This window comes from Homo sapiens, chromosome 4, assembly GCF_000001405.40.
Source record: "Homo sapiens chromosome 4, GRCh38.p14 Primary Assembly".
In the NCBI taxonomy this organism is placed as follows: Eukaryota; Metazoa; Chordata; class Mammalia; order Primates; family Hominidae; genus Homo; species Homo sapiens.
This window is the reverse complement of record NC_000004.12, coordinates 90,033,739-90,056,856: the sequence shown is the minus strand read 5'-3', so window position 1 is coordinate 90,056,856 and position 23,118 is coordinate 90,033,739. Positions and strand designations below refer to the sequence as shown.

General features: G+C 35.7%; 1 long non-coding RNA gene across 1 annotated transcript in view; it reads left to right on the top strand.

The window, feature by feature from the left end:
* Positions 1-17,265, top strand: part of LOC105377331 (uncharacterized) — a 35,231-nt gene extending 17,966 nt beyond the window's left edge. The window contains exons 2-4 of the long non-coding RNA XR_939000.3: positions 4,935-4,977; positions 16,785-16,886; positions 16,976-17,265. This is a non-coding gene — a long non-coding RNA (uncharacterized LOC105377331). The remainder of the gene's footprint in view (positions 1-4,934; positions 4,978-16,784; positions 16,887-16,975) is intronic.
* Positions 17,266-23,118: the final 5,853 nt, after the last annotated feature.

Genomic DNA, 23,118 nt, shown 5'->3' with positions numbered 1-23,118 from the left:
TTTTTTTTTGAGACGGAGTCTCGCTCTGTCACCCAGGCTGGAGTGCAGTGGCTCTATCTCGGCTCACTGCAAGCTCCGCCTCCCGGGTTCACGCCATTCTCTTGCCTCAGCCTGTAGCTGGAACTACAGGCACCCACCACCATGCCCGGCTAATTTTTTGTATTTTTAGTAGAGACGGGGTTTCCCCGTGTTAGCCAGGATGGTCTTGATCGCCTGATCTCGTGATCCGCCCGCCTCGGCCTCCCAAAGTGCTGGGATTACAGGCATGAGCCACCACGCCGGGCCAAATTATAGCTTTTAACAGTATAAAGTCTATGTGTGCCTCATAAGCCCCTGATATCAGTTATCAGAAAATTTATTTTATCCCTAGGAAAACAGGAATAATATGTTGTCATTTATGTTGTCAGGAGGAGCTAGTTTTGAGGGTGGAATTTAAAGAGTCTATTTTTTCCCCTTAGAACTTATTTCTAACCCCTGGCAGTACAGCTAGCTTAAAAAAAAATTAGGCCTTGATAACAGTGTTTGCAAGGAGCATGTCAAAACTGTTTAGGAGAAAAAATATCTAAAGATAGCATTAATAATTAATAAGCAATGATAAATTGGAAACTGTATAACTCATTCTCTTTTATATATTAAGTCAGTTCTCAGGTCATTTATTTGATATCACTTTGTTAACCTACTTTTGTTATCTATGTGAACATAGTAAAACTATAATTCTTTAAAATATTTCTCATGATTCAGAATTCCATCAATTTACTTCTCTTCCTCTTTCACAAGTCTAAACTAGTGAGATTTTACTGTAATTTTTACTATTAATTAAGACCCAAACAATAATGATTATTTGATCTCTGTATTTATTAGATCATGTTATTATTAAAGGCAATAATTCTTTCTTTTTTTTTACTTTCCATAATTAAATTATCAAGAAATTGCATGTCAATTGCATAATCAAATTATCAAGAAATTTATTGAGACACAGGCTTGATAATAAGTTTTCTATGAAAATACTTTGATTAAAAACATGAAGTTCAATAAACTAAACATATTTAGCTTTTAGAATGCAATTATTTACATTGAATTATAATGAATAAACTGGTATTTATTTTTCATAACACTTGCCATTAGCCAACATTCTATTTTAACATATGCTTATATATTAATGTGCATATATATGACATACAGGCTTAATACTAATGAAAATATGAATGGATTATACAGCATGTTAAAAAATTCCCTAGTAATATTTTCTCTCCTTCCTATACTAAATAATTTAAAAGGACATTTTCAATTTTTCATTCCTTTATGAAATAAATTAGGTTCACACTAATCTGTCCCATGTAGTCAATTATTCTAGTTAAATTTCTTATAGATATCATGAGATTAATAGCAATGTTCTAAAAAATACAGAGTTGCACATATATGAGAACATGTTTTCTTTTTGGCCATTACATGATCATTCCAGTGATAGATATCACAGATTAGGAGCTAGGCTTTGTGGCAAAAAAAAAAAAAAAGAAAAAAAAAACAAGATTAAATATTATAATCTAGTTGGAATAGTGAAATTGCTAGTTTCCTCTGATTAAAAAATTGTAAGCTTGTCTCAGCTATGAGGAGGTAAATGCTACTTAACAAGAATAGCAATGCTTGGAAACATAATGAACTCTCTAGATGGAAATAAATTATCCTTATTAGGCAACTTGCTTTTTTCATTGTTTCTGTTTATTATTTCACTTAGTAATGAATACTATAGCCAATTTGTAAAGTAATGAACAGTTTTAGAGCACTAATAAAAAGAAAACAGGTACAGTTAAAAAAAAAGAAAAAATGGAATTTTACTTGGTATCTTTTATAGTCTAGAAATAAGCAAATTTCTAGTTCTAGAATTTATCACCTATTTCTTTAGACATTTTGACCTTTTTTACCTTTTAGAATACATTTTCCAGGGTCTGCATCTAGTAGAATATTATTTTATTAAAACATTTGCAGTATTTGCAAGGCACCATTTCTCATGATAAAACATTAAAGCTAAGTAAATACACAGGAAAATGAAAGCACCAAGTTATTAAATTATGATTGCAGATATGTCCTTAGCAGGGGAGGTTTGATCAAGAAAGCTACTTGGATTTAATATGCTCTTGTCACGTATGTTTAGAATTAACACATACCATGAAAAATGGATATTATTATTATTTTCATCAGCTCAGCATGCCATAACAAAATACTATAGGCTGTGTGGCTTAAACAAAAGAAATTTATTTTATCAGTTTTGGAGGCTGGGAAATCTAAGATCAGGGTGCCAGCATGGTCAAGTCTGGTGAGGGGGCTCTTTCTGGCTTGCAGAGTGCTGCCTTCTCCCTATGTCCTCACATGGTGGAAAGAGAGTACAACCTGTCTAGTGTCTCTTCTCATAAGTGCACTAATCTCATCATAAGGGCTTCATCCTCATGACTTTATCTAACCCTAATAACCTCTCAAAGATGCCATCTCCAAATAACAGTACATTTGAAGTTAGGGCATCGACATTCAAATTTTGGGGGAACACAAACATTCACCCATAATAGTGATATATTCCAAGAAAAGTCACTAAGCAAAAGGCAAGTGTCACTTAAAAGGGAGAGAGAGAGGAAGAGTAAAGGAGAGATTGAGAGAGGAATTGGGAAATGGACCTTTCTCTTTTATATTGAAGAAAGATTCAATTTGCAAAAGACTGACACCTCTCATCAGTATGAATTTAATAGCAGGAAATTCTAGACATGTATATCATATATGATAGAAAAGGTAGTGAGAAGATTTAGTAAATAGCAGATTCACAAGCTTGCGTTGGCCATACCATGTAAAGGACAATTATTAATACTTGGAAATATCTAAACTTGCTTAAAAATCTTTGTAAAGAGTAGTTCTATCTACTCCATAGACTATTGGCAAAAACAGTCTTTAATAAGGTGCTAAGGCCCTTCTATTCCTGCCTTCGAATTTACTGGAAGTAAACATAACAGCATTTACTTATAGAATTTTGGAACTAGAATGCCTTTATTCATGTAATAGGAAACTAATGCTTTGTATCCACTTGAAGAGGTTAATTGTGCTTTCTATGAGGCTTTTCTTGTAGAAAAATATGACAGTAAAAGAAGAGCCCAAGAGGAAAAGAGAAAACATGGGAATATAAAAGAAACAGACAAATGCCAAGAGAAAGAACTTTTCCATAAATTCCTTTTCATAAATACCGTCCTTTGTCTGAAACCTGAATAAAATCAACTTGCCTTCTGGATCCTTTGCTTTAATTTCTCAGAAAATGGAGTTCGAATAGGTCTCTAGTCCAGTGTTTTTGGCAAAAAAAATCATTGTAAATCAGGTTATTATTTCAAGAAATAGCTTAATTAATTTAGTGTTTCTATGTATAATTTTCTTGCAAAACAAAAATAAGTAAAGTTATATACTATTTTATTAAATGTGCTTTTGTTATAATTTCCACTCACTTCCCAAAATAAATTTTACTCAGGCATGACTTTGCTATGTTGGACCATACGTAGAAACATATAGTGTTTCTTTGTCAACATCATGGTATTCTGGTTTATAAAATGGTGAACTGTATATGACTGGAGATCAACAAAATTAATTAAAAATAAATTTTGAACAAAGGTAAAATCCCTGTAATCAGTATGTTGTAGAAGGAATAATAATCCTTGGTAATAGCAAGACTAATGTAACTTTCCAGATTTTCCGTAAAAATGTAGAAAGAGTTGGAAATGTTGGACAATTATCCTAAAGAATTAGTACAGTCATCTTCTCAGGTTTAATAATTATATTTTAAGCTAAAATATACAAAAAATGACAAAGAAGAGCAGCATTCCAGCTGTGATTTTATGTGACTTGCAGCTGTGTCCCACCTGCCCCAAGCATCAGTAATTTGGATGCTGGGCATTCTTGGCTCAGTAATGCACTTGTTGGAAAATGTTAAAGCTATTAGCAAAGACAATCTCAAATGAGAAGACACAGAAGAATAATGTCAGTAAGGCTGAATAAAACATTATTATCTTAAAACTTTTGCCTATTCCTTCTGTATAATATTAGCACAACTAAAAGGACGTGCTCGATTTTGCTTGCAGTGAGCTATTTTTAGTCCCTCAATTAAGCTCCATTCCAATAGTTATTATCATTAGTTAGCATTTGCATAGCAATATACATGTGTTAACGCAAGTGCTTTGCAATGATTTTTAGAGATTTCTCTTCTCTGTGGTCTTATGAGGTAAAAGTTAATCTACGTAAGATTTACAGGAAAATACAACTAATTATATAAATCCTACATTTTATGTCAAAACCACTTGCAGTTAGCTTTGCCACAAGCCAACATAAATTGCAGTTGTAGCTAAATCAAAAGAAAGGTGGCTAATTTATGCGAGGTCACATCTGGAGTGAGCCAAAGACCCGGGCATAAAACTCTATCCCCTTTATCCACGATCTTGTACACTCCCCCAATAATATCATAAAGGTTCTGAATCCAACTGGCAATAAAACCATAATGTGAACATATGCAATTAAATATAGCATCAGAACAGCCACATATTACTGACCTTGCACGATACATGGCAGCCGTGAATACCATTAGAAGTGAGATCCAATCCCCAAAGGCCAAGGAAATTGGAGCCTCAGCTCCAGGGTTGGATAATGCCCTACTGAGGGCTGACTTTCGTTACCTGGGTCAGGTTAGATGGTTACAAGCTCCACACTGCTTTTCTGGTGATCCCCTTAACATAAAATTAAAATAGAAGCCATAGTCAACATATGTACATGCCAGTGGCTCTTTAAACATTAAGCTCATTTGTTAGGGGAAAAAAAGCCTCAAAACTAATAAGTATGACTGTTAAAAATCTTGAAGGTGATTCTTTGAACACTCAGAACCTTACGGTTTCTCCTCTTTTGTGTTTACTTCTCAGAAGCTTCTAGCTGCTGTTCCTGAATCAGAGGATCTCCCAAAAGGTCTGCTTTGGCTCCCTCCTTCCTTTTATTTTATATCAATTGTAAAGATTTGCCTATATAAATATGATAAATCCTTCATTTCTTTCCATTGTGTTTTCACTTTAATGAGAAAGGAAGATTGAAGACTAAGAATTATACAGTAGCTTCTGTTATTTTCTCACAGAAAAAAAAATCTAAAGATTTCACATATAATTCCTCATTTCAGAGGGTGGGGAAGCTTGGCATATACTACTATCACCCTTTGTTCTATTTACTAAAAGGAAAAACATTTAAAGATCCTTATTCTCATAATTTTCTCTCTAATGTATTATTGTAAAAAGTCTTAATGCAATCCATATTAAAACGCTTTTAGGCCAGGCACGGTGACTTACACATATAAGGCCAACACTTTGGGAGGCTGAGGTGGGAGGATCGCTTGAGCAAAGGAGTTTGAAGTTGCAATAAGCTACAGTTGCACCACTAGACTCCAGCCTGGGCAACAGAGTGAGATCCTGCCTCAAAAAGATAAATAAAATGAAATAAAAATGCTTTAGGAGGAAAGGAAGAAAAATAAGTTAATATAGTATATGTAGGCCCACATACATCTTAAAAAATCTGAATTTAACAAATTGATATTGTCCCAGGTGACAGGAATCTCAGTTACCAAAAATATCTTCTATATCCCAAACCTTAAATTCTTAGTCTCCGTTGTCACCTGTCACAGTGTTTTACAAATCTTGACACCTTTTTTCTAAAATACGAAGTAAAACTTCAGTTTGAGAGAGACTCTCCAAACCCACAGACAGAGTAATCAAGGACTCTCAGGTTCTGAGAGTTCATGGCTTCCCGACACGATCCCCAGGATCAGTCCTCTCCTGCTCTAGAGCCACTGTTGGCATTCACACTTACGTTGCTACCAAACACACAGGGTTTTCTGTGGCCCAGTGAGGACCACTGTTCTCCTGAGTTGTTTCTCCAAGTCTCCTTGCTACCAGTCAAATCCAGCACAAGAACCATGAAAGGGAAATCCCTGTGCATGTGTATGGCTGCCCCAAGTCCCAGGGTACTCATCCTTTTTTCTACTATAATTGGTTGAGCTCTCACAATATGTTCCTACATTGGTCTCTATTTCTAGGTTCTCACTAGTTTCACTCATGAGACCTCAGTCCCCGTTGAGGGACTGGACTCTGATTTTGGTTTGATGATTGGGAATCCCTGTCCTCTGCTCCTACAGGGCCTGGAGACTAAACTGCTACCAAGTGACCTCCCTGGAACCCTAAGGAGTGAATAAATTTTCTAAATGCTGCATAGCTCCCCTTGAAGTTCTGCTGCCTGAGATTCTTGTAATTACTTAATATCACTATTAACAAAAATATTATAGACTATCTAGGAATTACTATAATGAGTGAATTCATATGTAAGATATAGTGCCCTTCTCTGACTCCTTCATCTGCTTCTACATAGTCTAGACTATACAATCCTTGAAATAAGAAACTATGACCTTCATTGTTTCACACTCCAAAGCCTAGCACTGTTAGTGCTGTGGTTCAAGGCATAAATGAACGAATTCCCCCATGTGATAGGTTAAATCATGGCTCTCCAAAGATGTCCATAACTTAATCCCATGAACCTGTGAATATATTACATTGCATGGAAAAGAAACTTTGCAGACATAATGAAGTTTATGGACTTTAGGAAGAGTAACCTGAATTATCCAGGTTGGCCCAATCTAATTACATGAAAAAGCAGAGAACTTCCTTTGGCTGGAGCCACATAGATAACAGTAGAAGGCAGAAGAGGAACAGCAGGAACAATGATAGAAGTTAGATTTCAAATATGAGAAGGCTGTGCTGTAAGAGGTCATAAACACAAACTAAAGAGAGGCCTCTAAGAGTGAAGGGTGCCCTTCTACTCACAGTTAGCAATGAAGTGGATATTTCAATCCTACATCCATCCACCAAATTTGGCCAACAATACAAATGAATGTGAAAGCTGATTCCTCTCCAGAGCCTCCCATAAGGAATGCAGCCTTGCTGACACCTTGATTTTAACCTGGCGAGACCTGTGTTAGACTTCTGATCTATAGGAACTGTGCCCTTAAGATTGTGGTTATTTTTTACAGCAGCCATAGAAAACTAATACACCTTGGGAGGCCGAGGCGGGTGGATCATGAGGTCAGGAGATCGAGACCATCCTGGCTAACAAGGTGAAACCCCGTCTCTACTAAAAATACAGAAAATTAGCCGGGCGCGGTGACGGGCGCCTGTAGTCCCAGCTACTCGGGAGGCTGAGGCAGGAGAATGGCGTGAACCCGGGAAGCGGAGCTTGCAGTGAGCCGAGATTGCGCCACTGCAGTCCGCAGTCCGGCCTGGGCGACAGAGCGAGACTCCGTCTCAAAAAAAAAAAAAAAAAAAAAAAAAAAGAAAACTAATACACCTAATTTCTGGTTATCTCTGTTGCAGGCTCCTAGTTTGGGTTATGTCTTAAATCTGTTCTCTTTCATATCCTCTTGGACAGCATGCCTAGGAGGAATAATTGTTAGAAGAACCAAAGAATTTGCCAATGTAGGCTAATTTCATACAAAATGTTTCTTTCCTTTGAATACCTTCTTCGCAAATGAAAACTTGAATTTTCTAATTACAACAAACATATACAACATTTCAGTCCTTGATGCTTTTATTCCAGAAGCTGTCAAAACTTAAAAGTATATTATATCTGCCTGGAGGGCTTGTTAATACACACATTTCTGGGCCCTAGCTCCACAGTTTCTGATTCTATGAGTCTGATATAGTCCAGAGAGTTTTCATTTCTAACAAGTTCCCACGTGGTGCCAATGCTTCTGGTTAGCTGAACATCCTTTGAAAACTACTGTTTAGTAAAGTCAAATAATTCTTTTGTTCATAAAATATTAATATCTTTTATTCCTGCTCATTTTTTACCTATCTCCATATTAATATTTATCTGGGTATGTGCCCTTCTATTAAGAGAGTAGAAAACAGCAAAATAGATGATTGATTTCAGTAAATTTTTCTGATAATAATGTAGGTTATTGAAATTGAAATTATTTGGAGATTACCTATGCCAACATTTCTCAATAGAGGTGCTCTTGGTATTTGCAGTGAGACAATTCTTCATTGTGTCAAATTCTATTGTATATTCCATGTACTGAAGAACTTACTACCTCTGACCCCTTTCCACTAAATGCTCATAGAATTTCACCCTCATAGTGGTAACCAACAATCTGGCACACATTCCCAGATGTCCCTGTGTTGGATGTGCAACACTAATTGAAAACTATAAATCTATTTTATTCAAGTTTCCATGCGATTCTTCCCTATATTAGTAAGGATTTTCAAATTTTACTCTCATGTTTTATTCATAAATACTAGTTATTCTAAATATTTTAATTAATAGAATATATTACCGAATGAAGTCCCCGAGGCCACAATCAAGAAGAATATGTAGCTGGTACCATGAATTGGCTCACTCAGAAATGCATTCCATCCTCTTTCAAGTGTGCAGAGGCTGCTAAGTAAAGGCCACATTTACCAGACTCACTGAGGTATCCCTATATGGTTTAATGTCCACCAATGGGATGTGTCATCATGATCTGGAATTGAGGGAGAGACATACATGAGGAGGAACTGAGCAGAAAGCATCCATTTTATTTGTGCGTATTAAGGTAATATTGATATGTTTTGGAGCCAGAAACTGTAGCAATAGTTTCCTAATTTACTAGCCAACTTTCTGATTCCACCAGTCACCATCATTTCTGGGTTAGTGGACTCCTGAGTGGTCCAGTTCTACTCTATGGCTTTTGGATGCTCTCCTGGAAGTTGTATGACTTTAGGATTTATTGCTCAAGTTCAGCCTAGAGTCAACTTCATTTGCATTCCCCCAAATTCTATGAGCCATTTAATAGCCAGGAATAAACCTCCTTATGTTCCAGCTAGTTGGAGTAGAGTCGGCCCTCTGCAACTGAACTCTCCTCAATATAGAATACAACTAGAAATAAATAATAGCCAAGAGAACACCTATGAGTGTTTGTTTGCTTTTAAATCTAGAATCAGGGTAACTTGAAGGATAATTGTTCCCAAATCCATGCATATAACAAAAAGTTATAATATGTTTTTAATATTTTATCTCGATAGAAATCTAGTGACAAGTAATGCAGACAAGAATAAACAAATTTGACTATCAGTGGGTTTAGTATTATAGACAAAATAGTTTTCAGCTTTGTAAATTCCCCTCTCTTCATTTTTCCTCTATACCAAGCTGTCAAAGTGGAAGAAATTCTATTATTAAAGAATGATCTGTTTCGGTTTTTCAGGCCTTTCAATCAAAATGCATTTCTAAGTACAATTTAAAGAGACCTCAGATAGAATTGACCACGTTTTATTAGTGCTCCACAGTGTTTAAGAATATGGAAGAGAAAAGTTAGATTTCATGTCTGGATCAATAGGGACACTGAACTAAATCGCTGAAAGTGAAACTTGGAGCCAGAAGTAACCGTGACAAGTTAGCCAGCCCCACCTGCCTCAACCTAAAACAGGCACACATCCACAAATATACAGCCCTCAACCTTGGCCCTTGGAATGCAGAGAAATTCTGGTGAGGTTATTGGATATTCTAAATGTTTTAACACTGGCTTATCAACCAATTTTATGTGGTGTTTAATGGGCAGGGTTACACTATGATGATAATCTGTTTTTCTCTTATAAACCTAAATTCAAAATACAATGGTGTCTTTTCCCATAGAGGGCCAGCACCAGGAAAGCATTAAATTATATAATGTTTACCTTTGTTAGTTTCACAGTTTTTTTGATGTTCTTATTTTCTAGTGTTCTAAATTATTCATTTAAAATACATATATCTATTGGTTTCTAATTGTCCCTCTTCTCATTTTTATACATACTGTACACACAGTGCACACACACAGGTGTGCACACGGGAAACGTGTGTAACAGATTACTAAAGGTTTGGGGCTTGGGAAGTAGTGCATTGCTGCAACACAACTAAATGTAGTATAAAATATTTATTTAGTTCCAAATAATTAGATATTTATTTAAAATATCTAATCTCTTTAGTTATTTCCAAACTCACGCTTTTGTCCAGCATTCTATTCAGTTTCCCTGTTGACTCTTCTCATTGCTTTTTTTTTTCCCTTCCTCTTTTTTTCAGTATTCCTTCCCTTTCTTCTCTGCCTCACTCAGGGGCAAAACAAACAAACAATCAAATCAAAGCGATCTTCCATTTTCAGATGTACTCAGTTCTCTTTGGTCCCTACCTCCAAATTTAGCAGACTTGTTGCATATTCTGAGAATTTATCTCAGAATTACAAGATCTCTATCTTAAATTCTTTGATAATCTGAGTCGGGGGAGTAAGGAGGGTCAGGGGAGGAGTGGGAGGATTGGAGGAGGATTTCATAGTTTCCAGTTACATAAAGCTTTGTCTCTCAGTTATTCATTTTGGAATAATATAAATAAATTTTAATTGTATGGTGAGGTAGCAGACATTTCAAATTAGGGTGAGAGAAAATAGCTATAGGCTTTATAATACAGGAAGCATCAAATTAACTTTAGCTGGTATTGGTAAAGTGATTTCTTCCTTCATGTATCTTCCTACAAGCAGCTCAAATCCTCATCTCTCCCTATGTAAATGCTTTCAAGACATGTTTTCATACCAAGGAATTTCTAAAGGGGTATTCACACTTTAATTTTTTATTCTAAGGCTCTAATGCTATTTATTTTCTTTATAAGATTTGATTTTATTCTACTTTTTTCCTTCAGATTAATCGATTGCTGTTCTGCAATCTCTCATGACTTATATTATTGCCAAAATAGTTTTCTATTTTCTAATCACACAGCTTGCCGGTATGTCATTCTTCCTCACTTCAGTACCCCATTGCGGGAATCCTCACAGATAATGAACACGAACCTAATAGACATGCTCCTCAAGTCTGGTAATGAGAAGGAAAAAAAATTAAACAATTTCATTCATGAGTAGAAATTAGGAACTGTGAATTTCCTCATTTGTCTCATTTAATAAGGTGATTCACATGCCAGCACTTTTAAAACTATAAAATACTACGTAAATGTTGGTTACATTTACAATAATAATAATAACCATCACCACCACTACCATCATAACACTTTCTCTTCCCCATAATTGTACCCTTTGGAATTTGATTCAGATCATAAATGTCATAACTGTGATTTTATCCACTAAAGGCTAGTAGGAAGGGAGCCTAATTAAAACCTAGTTTTGCTGGGAAAACATAGTAGAAAAGGCATCTGTAGATGATAGCCATTTAAAAGGATTTTCCAGATCTAGGATGATACGTCCTGTATGAAGATATAAATGTAAACAAATCATAATATAGCTATTCAAACAATGAGAAGATCTACTGCACACTTTTATTAAAAAGCTAGCTGCCATAGTTCATTTTAACCAAGTCATTTCATGGAATTTAAAGTGACAGATACATTTGGCTTTTATTACATTTTCAGAAAAAAAAGAAAACCTATTATCTGTAAAGAGTAAAGCTGGGGAAAATTAATGAAGGTGGAAAGTTAGCGAGGATTTATCTCAAAAATGTTAATTTTTCTCCAAACCTAAAGATAACTGTCTGATAGAGTCATCAGCAGGGGTTGGTAGGAAGGGCAGAAGGTTTGAGATTGGAAGTTTGCCAAGAAACAGAGTGTCAGGAAGAAGTGGTATCAATGTATGCCACAGTCATCCATGTACTGGAAATACCCAAAAGTCAAAGTCTCTGGCTAAGGACAGTGAAGCTTTACTAAGGAGTAATGTCAGTCATCTTTTTTTTTTTTTCCTGGGATTTTTATTTTATTTATTTATTTTTTTTGGAGCCAGGGTCTTTCTCAGTTACCCAGTCTAGAGTGCAGTGGTGTAATCATAGCTCACTGCAGCCTTGAATTTCTGGCCTCATACCATCCTCCCACCTTGGCCTCCCAAAGTGCTGCGATTACAGGCATGAGCCCCAGTGCCTGTCCCTCGGTCATCTTTTATTTTCCTAAAACAAACCATCAAAAGTCTTCACAAAACATTTTGGTATTGTTTTGCAAAATAGAGTGGTTAATAATGTCTGTAGGAGAACTCATTGTGTTTTCTAGAGACCCTTATAAGCTGTTTCATCATTCCTTAATTCATTAATTCTCTAGTCAAGACTTTCTCTTATCTAAGGTATATGTATATAAGTAGTGCAAAATACTATAGACAATGCAAAACAAAAACCATAAAAAAAACAAAAAACTAGTTGAAAGGAAATATCTGCTCAATATTTCAGCTGTAATGTCTTCATGTCTCTGAATAGGCAGTTTATTGATTTTTCCTCCTCTTTTTTGATGATTTGGCTGCTTGTTTTGTCAACATATAATTTCAGTTTCAGTCTGTATTTTAGGTACATATGATGTCATGAAATCAGTCTTTTTATTCCCCTCAGTCTTTGAATCCACTTTGGAATATCATGGATGCTATTTAATATAATTATTCCTGATCTATACACTTAAAATGTATCAGGTTTTTGTAATCCACTCAAGTACAGATACATCCAGTTCTTTTTTAAATACATTGATTTCAGTTGCATAAAAAATTATAAGATAAAAGATGAAGGCAATAAGAAATAAACATAGATCAAGGGAGAAAATCAAGAAAGGATAGGTTCATAGATAAATGCACGAAGTAATCAAATTAACAAGGATTTTTATGATGGTGTAATTAATGAACTGCAATTTTACATTAGTCTCCAGCAAAAAGAAATATGGAGAAGGAGCAAAGGCAATTATGCATTAATGAAGACTATGATAATGTGACAGCAATATTAGATAGCAGTAATGGAATTAAATTTTATAAAAGAAAATTCCAGAAAGATAACAGATGAAACAACATAACAATATGCATGAATTGTTCTAAGAGAATTGTATCTGCTAACTTTACTACAGTATTACCATTTTCGATATTACTTATAAAAAGCATAAAGATAAAAGGGAACATTTTTATGACATAAATTAGCCCTTTATTTGTATAGATGCTAAAATGTTTAGGCTTTTTTTATTGGTTTAGTTTTTCTAATAAATATTTATCCCAAAATAAATCTGATAGAGGTTTACTTATGACAAAACTAAAGGACCATAGGGATTAAATAAATTTCCAAAAGCACACATATCTGTTAAATAGAGCCAGAGCCCTACATCTGCACTCAAGCCCTCCCTTTCCTAATGCTAACTTCATTTCCTACATGACCACCTGACCTCAACCCTGGTGTGTTAACTTAAAACAATTTCCTTCAATTTACATTTTCTTTTTAATTGTAGTGAAGTTGAATTTATTCTAACATTGTAAGATTTTCTGATGTTTTACCATGTTGAAAAAAATAACTTTCAAGTTCAATTTATTTATTATTGGAAATGAAATCAATAGAGATTATTTACTTTAGCACTGTCTTTGGCATTTTTTTTCTATTTCTAGAAGAGAGTAAGTTATCACTTTTTGAAAGATGAAAATTGTGACTTGGGGAAGTCAGTGACGTGAAATCGGTTCTTTCAGTAATATAGCAGTCATTCTTCACATATAGTCTAACAGTAAAGCTATTCATGCTTTTATAGTTTCTGTCTTTACAGATAAGAATTGTAATATGAAATTTGTTGTCTTTGGAGGGATCTCAAGGAAAAGATATTTACATTCATAACATAAAAATATAGGATAGCTGAATAAAGTATAAAAATGAGATATAGGTAACTAAGCAGATGGGGGTCCCTCGCTGTTCTAATTATCAATAGCTTCCAAAACAAAATTGCATTTTCAAATGAGCTAATGATACAACTTCTATGTACAATTGTTTTCTTAAGATTTCATTCTAGGTGAAAAATGAGAAGATTCAAGAATATGACGTATTTTTGTGAAAACATAGAAATTAGAATTGGAAGTGAATCTTTAATAAGTGATTAAGTATCTTTTATCACACAAATACCTTAACGTGAAGAGTTTGTATTCTAAACTAGAAAGGTACTGGAAAATAAAAGCCATTATTTTCCGCATGTAAAGCATTTTACATCAAAGAAAAAGTAAATTTAACAATAGAGACTTCACTCTGAGGTGCTTACAATAAAATACCTCGATTGTTCAAAATCTCATTGTTGAAAGGAAGACATACGTCAAAAGAAATGATAATATTTGACCAAGTTATCCCTTTGCCTTTGTAACTACCACTATCAGCACTTTGATTTCTTTATCAGATGTCACATTAGGTTTTCTCCAAAAAATGAATGACAATACATATAAGAGCATATGAAGCTTAATTATTTTAAAATTAAAAATATCATACTCAAAAAGGGAAAGAGAGAAGAAGAGAAGTAAAAATATAAATCCAGTATGAAATACAGTATTCAAGAATCCTGCAACTTGGTAAATATTAATACATAAAGCAACACTGTCTATACCCTGAGTGAATATGTTTTATGTGAATATTGCTTTCAGGTTCTTCTCAGGCAAGAGAATGAATGAGAGACTCAATTTGGACACTATGTGAGAATTGATTGCTTAATGCCTTTTAAAATCTCTTTGAAAATGAATTGGTCAATAGAATTCCCCTTTGTTTATTAGGGAGTAGGAAGGCAGTCAGGCCTTCAGGCAAAAACAATAACAGATGGTAAGAAGGAAACAATTCATTTTCTGTCCACCTTAAGGAAGACTTACATTTGAAAGGTAAGGAAGAAAATAAGGTCTCTTGATTTTAATAGTTTCTATACCAGGAGAAGCTGGTGTTAAAGACCCTTCCAAATGTTACAGGTGTTTGCATTCAAATACGATCACACAGCTGCTGGCTGCCACAGAATGGAAGTCATCCTCAGAAGCAATGTGTCACAGATTTTCCCTAAATCCCCAAGCCAAACATCAGCTGTGGCTAAGCTTTTACATTTTTCTTCCTGGAAAGGAAGATCCCTTGGCTCATACCCATGATTATCACTTTGTTACTTAAATCAATTTCAGGTAAAACTGGAAAAAAATAAACATCGTCAGAAATTACATTACTGTGAATAAGGCTTGTCCTACTGGATACAAAGAGATAAACAGTGCCAGATCAGGCCTATTACCGCTGGCTTAATCTCCTGAGAATTTGGGGCCTCCAAGTCCACTCAAATAGTTCTGCCCAAGAGCAACCTAAGGAAAGCCCAGTATCTGCCCTAATCCAGACAATTTTTATACTAAGCACTTCTTCAGCAAAAACACAATGCAGAAGAGACTATTAACTCCCATCTCTTGCTGATTCCAGAATAGAAAGCTGACTGTCTTCTCACTGCACTGATTCTTCCTCTGTATTTTTTCACATCTTCTATTTCTTGGACTGCTACTAGAAGAAAATATTTATTTCAAATTATATAAAATCTCCACCCATACATCTTGAAATCTATGTTGAAATATTTAAGTAGGGGAGAGACTGATATTTTATTGGGTGCACTGCATGTACTTTCTGATTAATTCTATTAACAACCAGGTGGAGTACCTATTACTAGCTATATTTTTGAGAGGAGGGTTATTTTTGTACTCACGGTCACAGAGATGGAAAATGGGGAAAGCCAAGTTTGAGATCACTTTGTCTGACTACAAGGCCATGCTGTTTCCTACAATTCGGGTGCCAAAAAGTAATTCAGGGTAAAGTTTCCCATAAGCACCGGATTATAAAAAACTTAATAACTGGAGAGAGATCGGGCAAGTGAATTTATTGTGGAAATATGCTAAGATTGTGTTGATGAATTTAAATTCAAAACAGTTGTCAGGATTGTATGTACCAAAGGAAGTCATGTCACAAACAAAATTGTGTGTACTTGATAATCTCATAGCATTTATTGGAATAAAAGTCACTTAGTAGCGACTTAATAAATGTACTATAAAAGGCATGACTTTAGTATTTTTAGTTGTATAATTAACATGCAAGATGCCATTAATTTTTCTTTCATTTTACCCATTTATACACATTATCTACTCAGGCTCACCACTTGCTTCCAATTCAGAAGTTCCTCTGTATTCCTTCATATCTTCATTGCATGTCCATCCACATGTTGGCAACTGATCTTCATTTAGAACTCTGAAGTAACTGCAAAACCTAGACTTTTGATGTCAACCCCAAACTTGCTAGTTTTAGAAGAAGACTGTAAGGTATTGGCTTGACTTCTCCAGTTCCTGGCTCAGAGTAGATAGTCAATACATATTTGTGGAATAATTTATGACTTAGAGGTGCCTAGCCTCTATCAGATTGCAAGGCAAGGGGAAATGAGTTCATTCAAAACTTAAAGGATTGTTTTTTCCCCCATCCAGTCAAATAATTGTGTTAGAGAAAATTACGTGCATGCATTACTCTTATTTCGCCACTGTTAAAAAAAGAAAGAGAAAAAATCAGGGGAAAGAGGAGAAGATATAATTAAACCATCATGTAAAAATGGAGAGGCAATATTTTGTGGAAACTCACCAAATGATGAACAGTGGTCAGTAGAACAAAGCAATATTTGGAATTTTGAAGGCAAATAACTTCTGTGTACTTTTATAATGGCTATATAATTGTTTTATGCTTTTCCTATAATATAAATTTATAATTTATAATGTTCAAAGTAATATTTGTGTATTATAAAATGATTAGTTTAACACTCAAGGAGTTCCTCAGAGTTCTGGCAACCAAAAGACAGGAGCACCGACAAGGCAGGCAGTGTGGAGGAGGGACATCACACTGCACAGTAACATTTTTCAAATGTTTTCCATATAGAAGTATATCCAAAAAAAAGATTTATAGAATTCTTTTGTCTTTTGTTGCTAGTGATACAGACCAGGGATCGGTGAATACTGGGTAGAAGACGGCGGTTTCCTGGCAAAGGCCCCACCATCAAGCCTGAAGACCTGCAGCCCTAAATGAGGACAGGTATCTCTGTTTTCACACCCAAAAAACTCCCTTTTGGTCTGCCATGCCCCCATCCTGCCCTCATATAAATCTCGAATCCCACACTCCAGATGTGACCTGCAAGCAAGGAGACGAGGAGGCAAGCAGACCAGCAGACCAGCAGACCAGCAGACCAGCAGACCAGCAATGACGGAATGATGTGGCAGACAAAGAGAGAGGAGGAAGGATGTCTGGACACCGAGGGGAGTTTGGCCAGGGGCAGTCAGAAAAGAGTCCCACCACTGGGAGTCCTGACTGCAGGGGAAGACCACCTTCCCTCTCCATTCCCCCTTCTGGCTCCTCATCCATCTTGCTGAAAGCCATCTCCACCACTCAATAAAACATTGCACTTATCCTTCAAGCCTGCATGTGATCTGATTCTTTTGCGACCCTGGGCAAGAGCTTGGGATACAGAAGGCCCTCACACTGGGGCCCTGCCCTTGTGATAAGGCCGAGGGTCCATTGAGCTGATTAACACACAAGCCATCTGCAGATGGCAAAGCTAAAGGAGCACACTGTAACATATGCCCACTTGGACTTCAGAAGTCGCAGACACACACCCCTAGATGATTCTGTGGGGCTGGAGCCCAAAGGCACTCCTCCCGGTTTCCTGCACCTGCCTGTCTGTGTGCTCACCCTCCTGTAAGGGGTTTGAGCTGTCGGGAGACCAAACAGCCGAGCCGCACCTCTGTTAGACACGTCCTGCAAGGGGAATCAGGGAACTCTTGGAAGTCTTCTGTTTCACTACTATTTTAAACCAGTTATGGAGGTAATTTTTTATTAAAATGTTATTCATGCCTTCTTAAATATTTAATAAATTCTAATTCTCTTGCAGATATAAAGATCATCTGGATTATCCAGTTTATGAATACTTAATAAAATAATAATATTTAAATAATATATAATAAACATCAAAACTGAGTATGATATTTCTTTTTTTTTTTTTTTTTTTTTTTGAGATGGAGCCTTACTCTGTTACCCAGGTTGGAGTGCAGTGGCGCAGTCTTGGCTCAATGCAGCCTCCACCTCCCAGGTTCCAGTGATTCTCCTGCCTCAGTCTCCCAAGTAGCTGGGTTTACAGGCACACGCTACCATGCCCAGCTAATTTTTGTATTTTTAGTAGAGATGGGGTTTCACCTTGTTGGCCAGGCTGGTCACGAACTCCTGACCTCAGGTGATCTGCCCGCCTTGGCTTTCCAAAATGCTAGGATTACAGGCGTGAGCCACCACATCCGGCCTGAGTGAGATATTTCTAAAAACATTTTGTAGTTCATAGATTACAATTATTTCTAAATTTGCATATTCAACATTTGATAAATCTTTCTTAGAAATTAACAGATTGTCTTAAGATGCTGTGTCAAATTATTTGTTATGTAATTATTGCAAAGGCAGTAGATAGTGATGGTCAAGAGCCCAGATTCTGTAGCAAATGACCTGGGTTCAAATCTTGGTTCTGACAGTTACTTGGGTGACCTTGGTCAAGTTACTTGACATCTCTGTCTTGGTTTACTCATCTGTAAATGGTAACGATAAAACACTTCTGATATAGAGTTATTAGAACATTCAATAAAAGAATATATGTAAAACACTTGGAACAATGCCTGGCAAGTATAACAGCCAACACTTCGAGAGTGCTTGCTATGTGCCTGGCACTTCAGTATTAGCTATTATTATCATTATTTATTTATTCAGAAGAAATTGATGACACTGTGATCATTTACTTGTCAATAACCACTGGCAGTAGTGTATTAAATGGTGGTAGAGCAATCAGGCACCCGTGAGATTACAAGTAATAACGTAATAATGTCTTTTTGTGATAAGAAATGCTTAGTTGAAGGTATGTGATTATTAGTCATTAAATCGCTTTGCATGTGCTTTGGTTCTAATTTACCTTATCTCATAAGAACATGTAATAAATTATACAGGGAATTTCTGTTAAAAAATAATCCCACAGTTGTATGAGATTGGAGGAGACTTTTAGATGGTAGGTCAGTGGTCTTGCATTTAGTTGAGCAAAAGCAATTTTGCTTCCATTTCAGGACCGCATTTTGCTCCTCATTATAGTAAGTAATGTAGCACTTTTCTGACTTCTATTTTAACATTAGAATTGGGATTACTATCTCATTAATTTTCAAAGTCTCTGCAAGAAAGTCAGTATAATCATCTTTAGTAATGAGGCACCTCTATGGTAAAAAGTCTTAGTAATTTGTCCATTGTTTCAAATCAAAGAGAGAAGTGGAGGCTTTTAAATTCTAGCAAGGTGTTTATGTTATTAATATTTTCACTTTACAACTATTACAAATTAATAATTTTTTTCTTCTTGGAAACCTAGTATAAATATATTTGTAGGTCATAAATAAAAAATGAGAAATCAACTAAAAATGTTACCTTGTTCAGACTCCATTCGCTAAATTTTTCTCTCATTTTCATTGCAGGACATTTGATTATGACTGATCATGCTATTTGTCAGTATGTACATATGTGTGTACGTATGTATGTATCAATCAACCAATTATTATAGTAGCAATATATTAATTTCATATTACCCAAAATTATAAGCCTGAATGTGTTGAAAACTTGAATTTAAAATTACATATTTCTGCAAAACTTTTTATTTCTTTTTGCCTTTTCCAAAAGCAAACACTGTTTTTGGCTTCTTTCTCTTTGCTTACTTCCATATTTCAAGTCATCCTGAAATGATTCCATGCTGGAATTTTCAAAATAATTTCATGTTGAAATTTCTGCCTTAATATCTCTTGTATAAAACTACCTCCTGTCCTAATGTATCATGTCAAAAAAAAAAAAAAATAAGGAGGTTTCAGCTTTTCCCTTCACAAACTGTGTTTTCCTTTCATATGCAGAAATATGTTACTAGGTAATTATTTTGTCTGCATGTTCATCAGCAAAGGCTTCAGGTGGACGCATTATAAAGTAGGGAATAGTTTTGAAGGGTCCTTAATTAAGATTACCAGCAAGACTTAGAGCTTCTGTAGCTGCATATGAAGCCAAGGACAAGGATATAAATGCATTATCATGAGTATCCTGATGGATCAATGAGGTGTGGATAAGTAGAACAACACATTTTTATCCTTCTTTTGCCATTCTACCCTTCCCCCCAGCCCTTCAGAAGCTGAATATGATTGAGTAAAGGAAGAACACAAAGCACAATGTTCTACTTAATTTATAAAGGATTTCCCCAGGTCATGGAATTATAGCTTTCTTGTTATTTCACATGAACCTTTAAGAGCTATCTGACATACTTGGATTTTTATTAAGAATTCCAGATCACTCGTCAAGGATTTTTCTAAAGTACAGCCTCTGTTATTTACTGCTGCGCGGAGAGAATAAAGACTCTGCTTTGCTCATATTTTATAGGCCCATCCCTGCCATTCAAAGAGGTTTTTCATGATGCTGATGACACATATTATCTTGTCTGTGGGTTTCCTGCCTGTACTACCTATCAGCTGTGTGCATTCCTTCCTTTAAAATAACCATGTTATTTTTAAAGGTGCTGAAAATACATCAACCTACTTGACCCAAACTTATTAACACAAAAGAGTGTCATTCAATGAAGAACCAAGGGTTTAATAATAAAGGAAGATAGAAAACAAAATGCTACTGCTTTATTGACCATATGTATTCATGAACATCACTGTATATGAATGAGAGAAGGAAGTGGTCATGCTTTCCTGTTGATAAAACAAGAGAAAAGGTCCAAAGGTCCTTACCTCCTCTACGTCTCCTGTATGCACTTTTCTCCTGTTTCACCAAATGGGGGGTGAGGAAATGGGAAACAGAATAACACACCCACACCCTTGCTGTGTACAACTTACTTTGGTTTTATAAATTTTATTTTATGTAAATCATAAAGTTCTACTTTTTAAAGTTAAATGTAAATCCTATCATATAAATTGTTGTTTATTGTGGTATGTAACTCAGAGACATGTTTTGAAACATACTTATTAATTTTGTCCTTCTGGATTTTCTTTTTGTTTTAATAGCCATACAGACTGTTCCTTATTGTTTAGCCCAGAATCTGAGCATGAAGTATAAATGTTTGTTAAATTCTTTTTTTATTATTATTATACTTTAAGTTCTGAGATACATGTGCAGAATGTGCAGGTTTGTTACAGAAGTATACACGTGCCATGGTGGTTTGTTGCACCCATCAACCCGTCATCTACATTACGTATTTCTCCTAATACTATCCCTCCCCTAGCCCCCTATCCCCAACAGGCCCTGCTGTGTGATGTTCCCCTCCCTGTGCCCATGTGTTCTCATGGTTCATCTCCCACTTATGCGTGAGAACATGTGGTGTTTAGTTTTCTGGTCCTGTGTTAGTTTATTGAGAATGATGGTTTCCACCTTCATCCATGTCCTTGCAAAGGACATGAACTCATCCTTTTTTATGGCTGCATAGTATTCCATGGTGTATATATGCCACATTTTCTTTATCCAGTCTATCATTGATGGGCATTTGGGTTGGTTCCAAGTCTCTGCTATTGTGAACGGAGCTGCAGTAAACATATGTATGCGTGTGTCATTATAATAGAATGATTTATAATCCTTTGAGTATATACCATAATGGGATTGCTGGGTCAAATGGTATTTCTGGTTCTAGATCCTTGAGGAATCGCCACACTGTCTTCCACATTGGTTGAACTAATCTACACTCCTACCAACAGTGTAAAAGTGTTCCTATTTTTCCACATCCTCTCCAGCATCTGTTGTTTCCAAGTTTTTAATGATTGCTATTCTAACTGGCATGAGATGGTATCTTATTGTGATTTTGATTTGCATTTCTCTAATTACCAGTGATGATGAGCTTTTTTTCATATGTTTGTTGGCCATATAAATGTTTTCTTCTGAGAAGTGTCTGTTCATATACTTTGCCCACTTTTTGAGGGTTTTTTTTTTTTTTGTAAATTTGTTTAAGTTCCTTGTAGATTCTGGATATTAGCCCTTTGTCAGATGGATAGATTGCAAAATTTTCTCCTATTCTATAGGTTGCCTGTTCACTCTGATGATAGTTTCTTTTGCTGTGCAGAAGTTCTTTAGTTTAATTAGTTCCCATTTGTCAATTTTGGCTTTTGTTGCCATTGCTTTTGGTGTTTTAGCCATGAAGTCTTTGCCCATGCTTATGTCGTGAATGTTATTGCCTAGGTTATCTTCTAGAGTTTTTATGTTTTTAGGTCTTATGTTTAAGTCTTTAATCCATCTTGAGTTAGTTTTTGTATAACGTGTAAGGAAGGGGTCCACTTTCAGTTTTCTGCATATGGCTAGCCAGTTTTCCCAACACTATTTATTAAATAGGAAATCATTTCCCCATTGCTTGTTTTTGTGAGGGTTGTCAAAGATCAGATTGTTGTAGATGTGTGGCGTTATTTCTGAGGGCTCTGTTCTGTTCCATTGGCCTATATATCTGTTTTAGCACTAGTACCATGCTGTTTTAATTACTGTAGCCTTGTAGTATAGTTTGAAGTCAGGTAGCATGATGCCTCCAGCTTTGTTCTTTATGATTAGGATTGTCTTGGCTATACGGGGTCTTTTTTGGTCCCATATGAAATTTAAGGTAGTTTTTTCAACATTTCTTTGGGCTAAAAACTCAATAAACTAGGTATTGATGGAAAGTATCTCAAAATAACAAGAGCTATTTATGACAAACCCACAGGCAATATCATACTGAATGGGTAAAAAACTGGAAGCATTCCCTTTGAAAACCAGCACAAGACAAGGATTCCCTTTCTCACCACTCCTATTCAACATAGTATTGGAAGTTCTGGCCAGGGCAATCAGGCAAGAGAAAGAAATAAAGGGTATTCAAATAGGAAGAGAGGAAGTAAAATTGTCTCTGTTTGCAGATGACATGATTGTATATTTAGAAAACCCCATCATCTCAGCCCAAAATCTCCTTAAGCTGATAAGCAACTGCAGCAAAGTCTCAGGATACAAAATCAACGTGCAAAAGTCACAAGCATTTTTATCCACCAGTAATAGACAGAGAGCCAAATCATGAGTGACCTCCCATTCACAATTGCTACAAAGAGAATAAAATACCTAGGAATCCAACTTACAAGGGATGTGAAGGACCGCGTCAAGGAGAACTACAAATCACTGCTTAAGGAAATAAAACAGGACACAAACAAATGGAAGAACATTCCATGCTCATGGATAGGAAAGAATAAATATTGTGAAAAGGGCCATACTGCCCGAA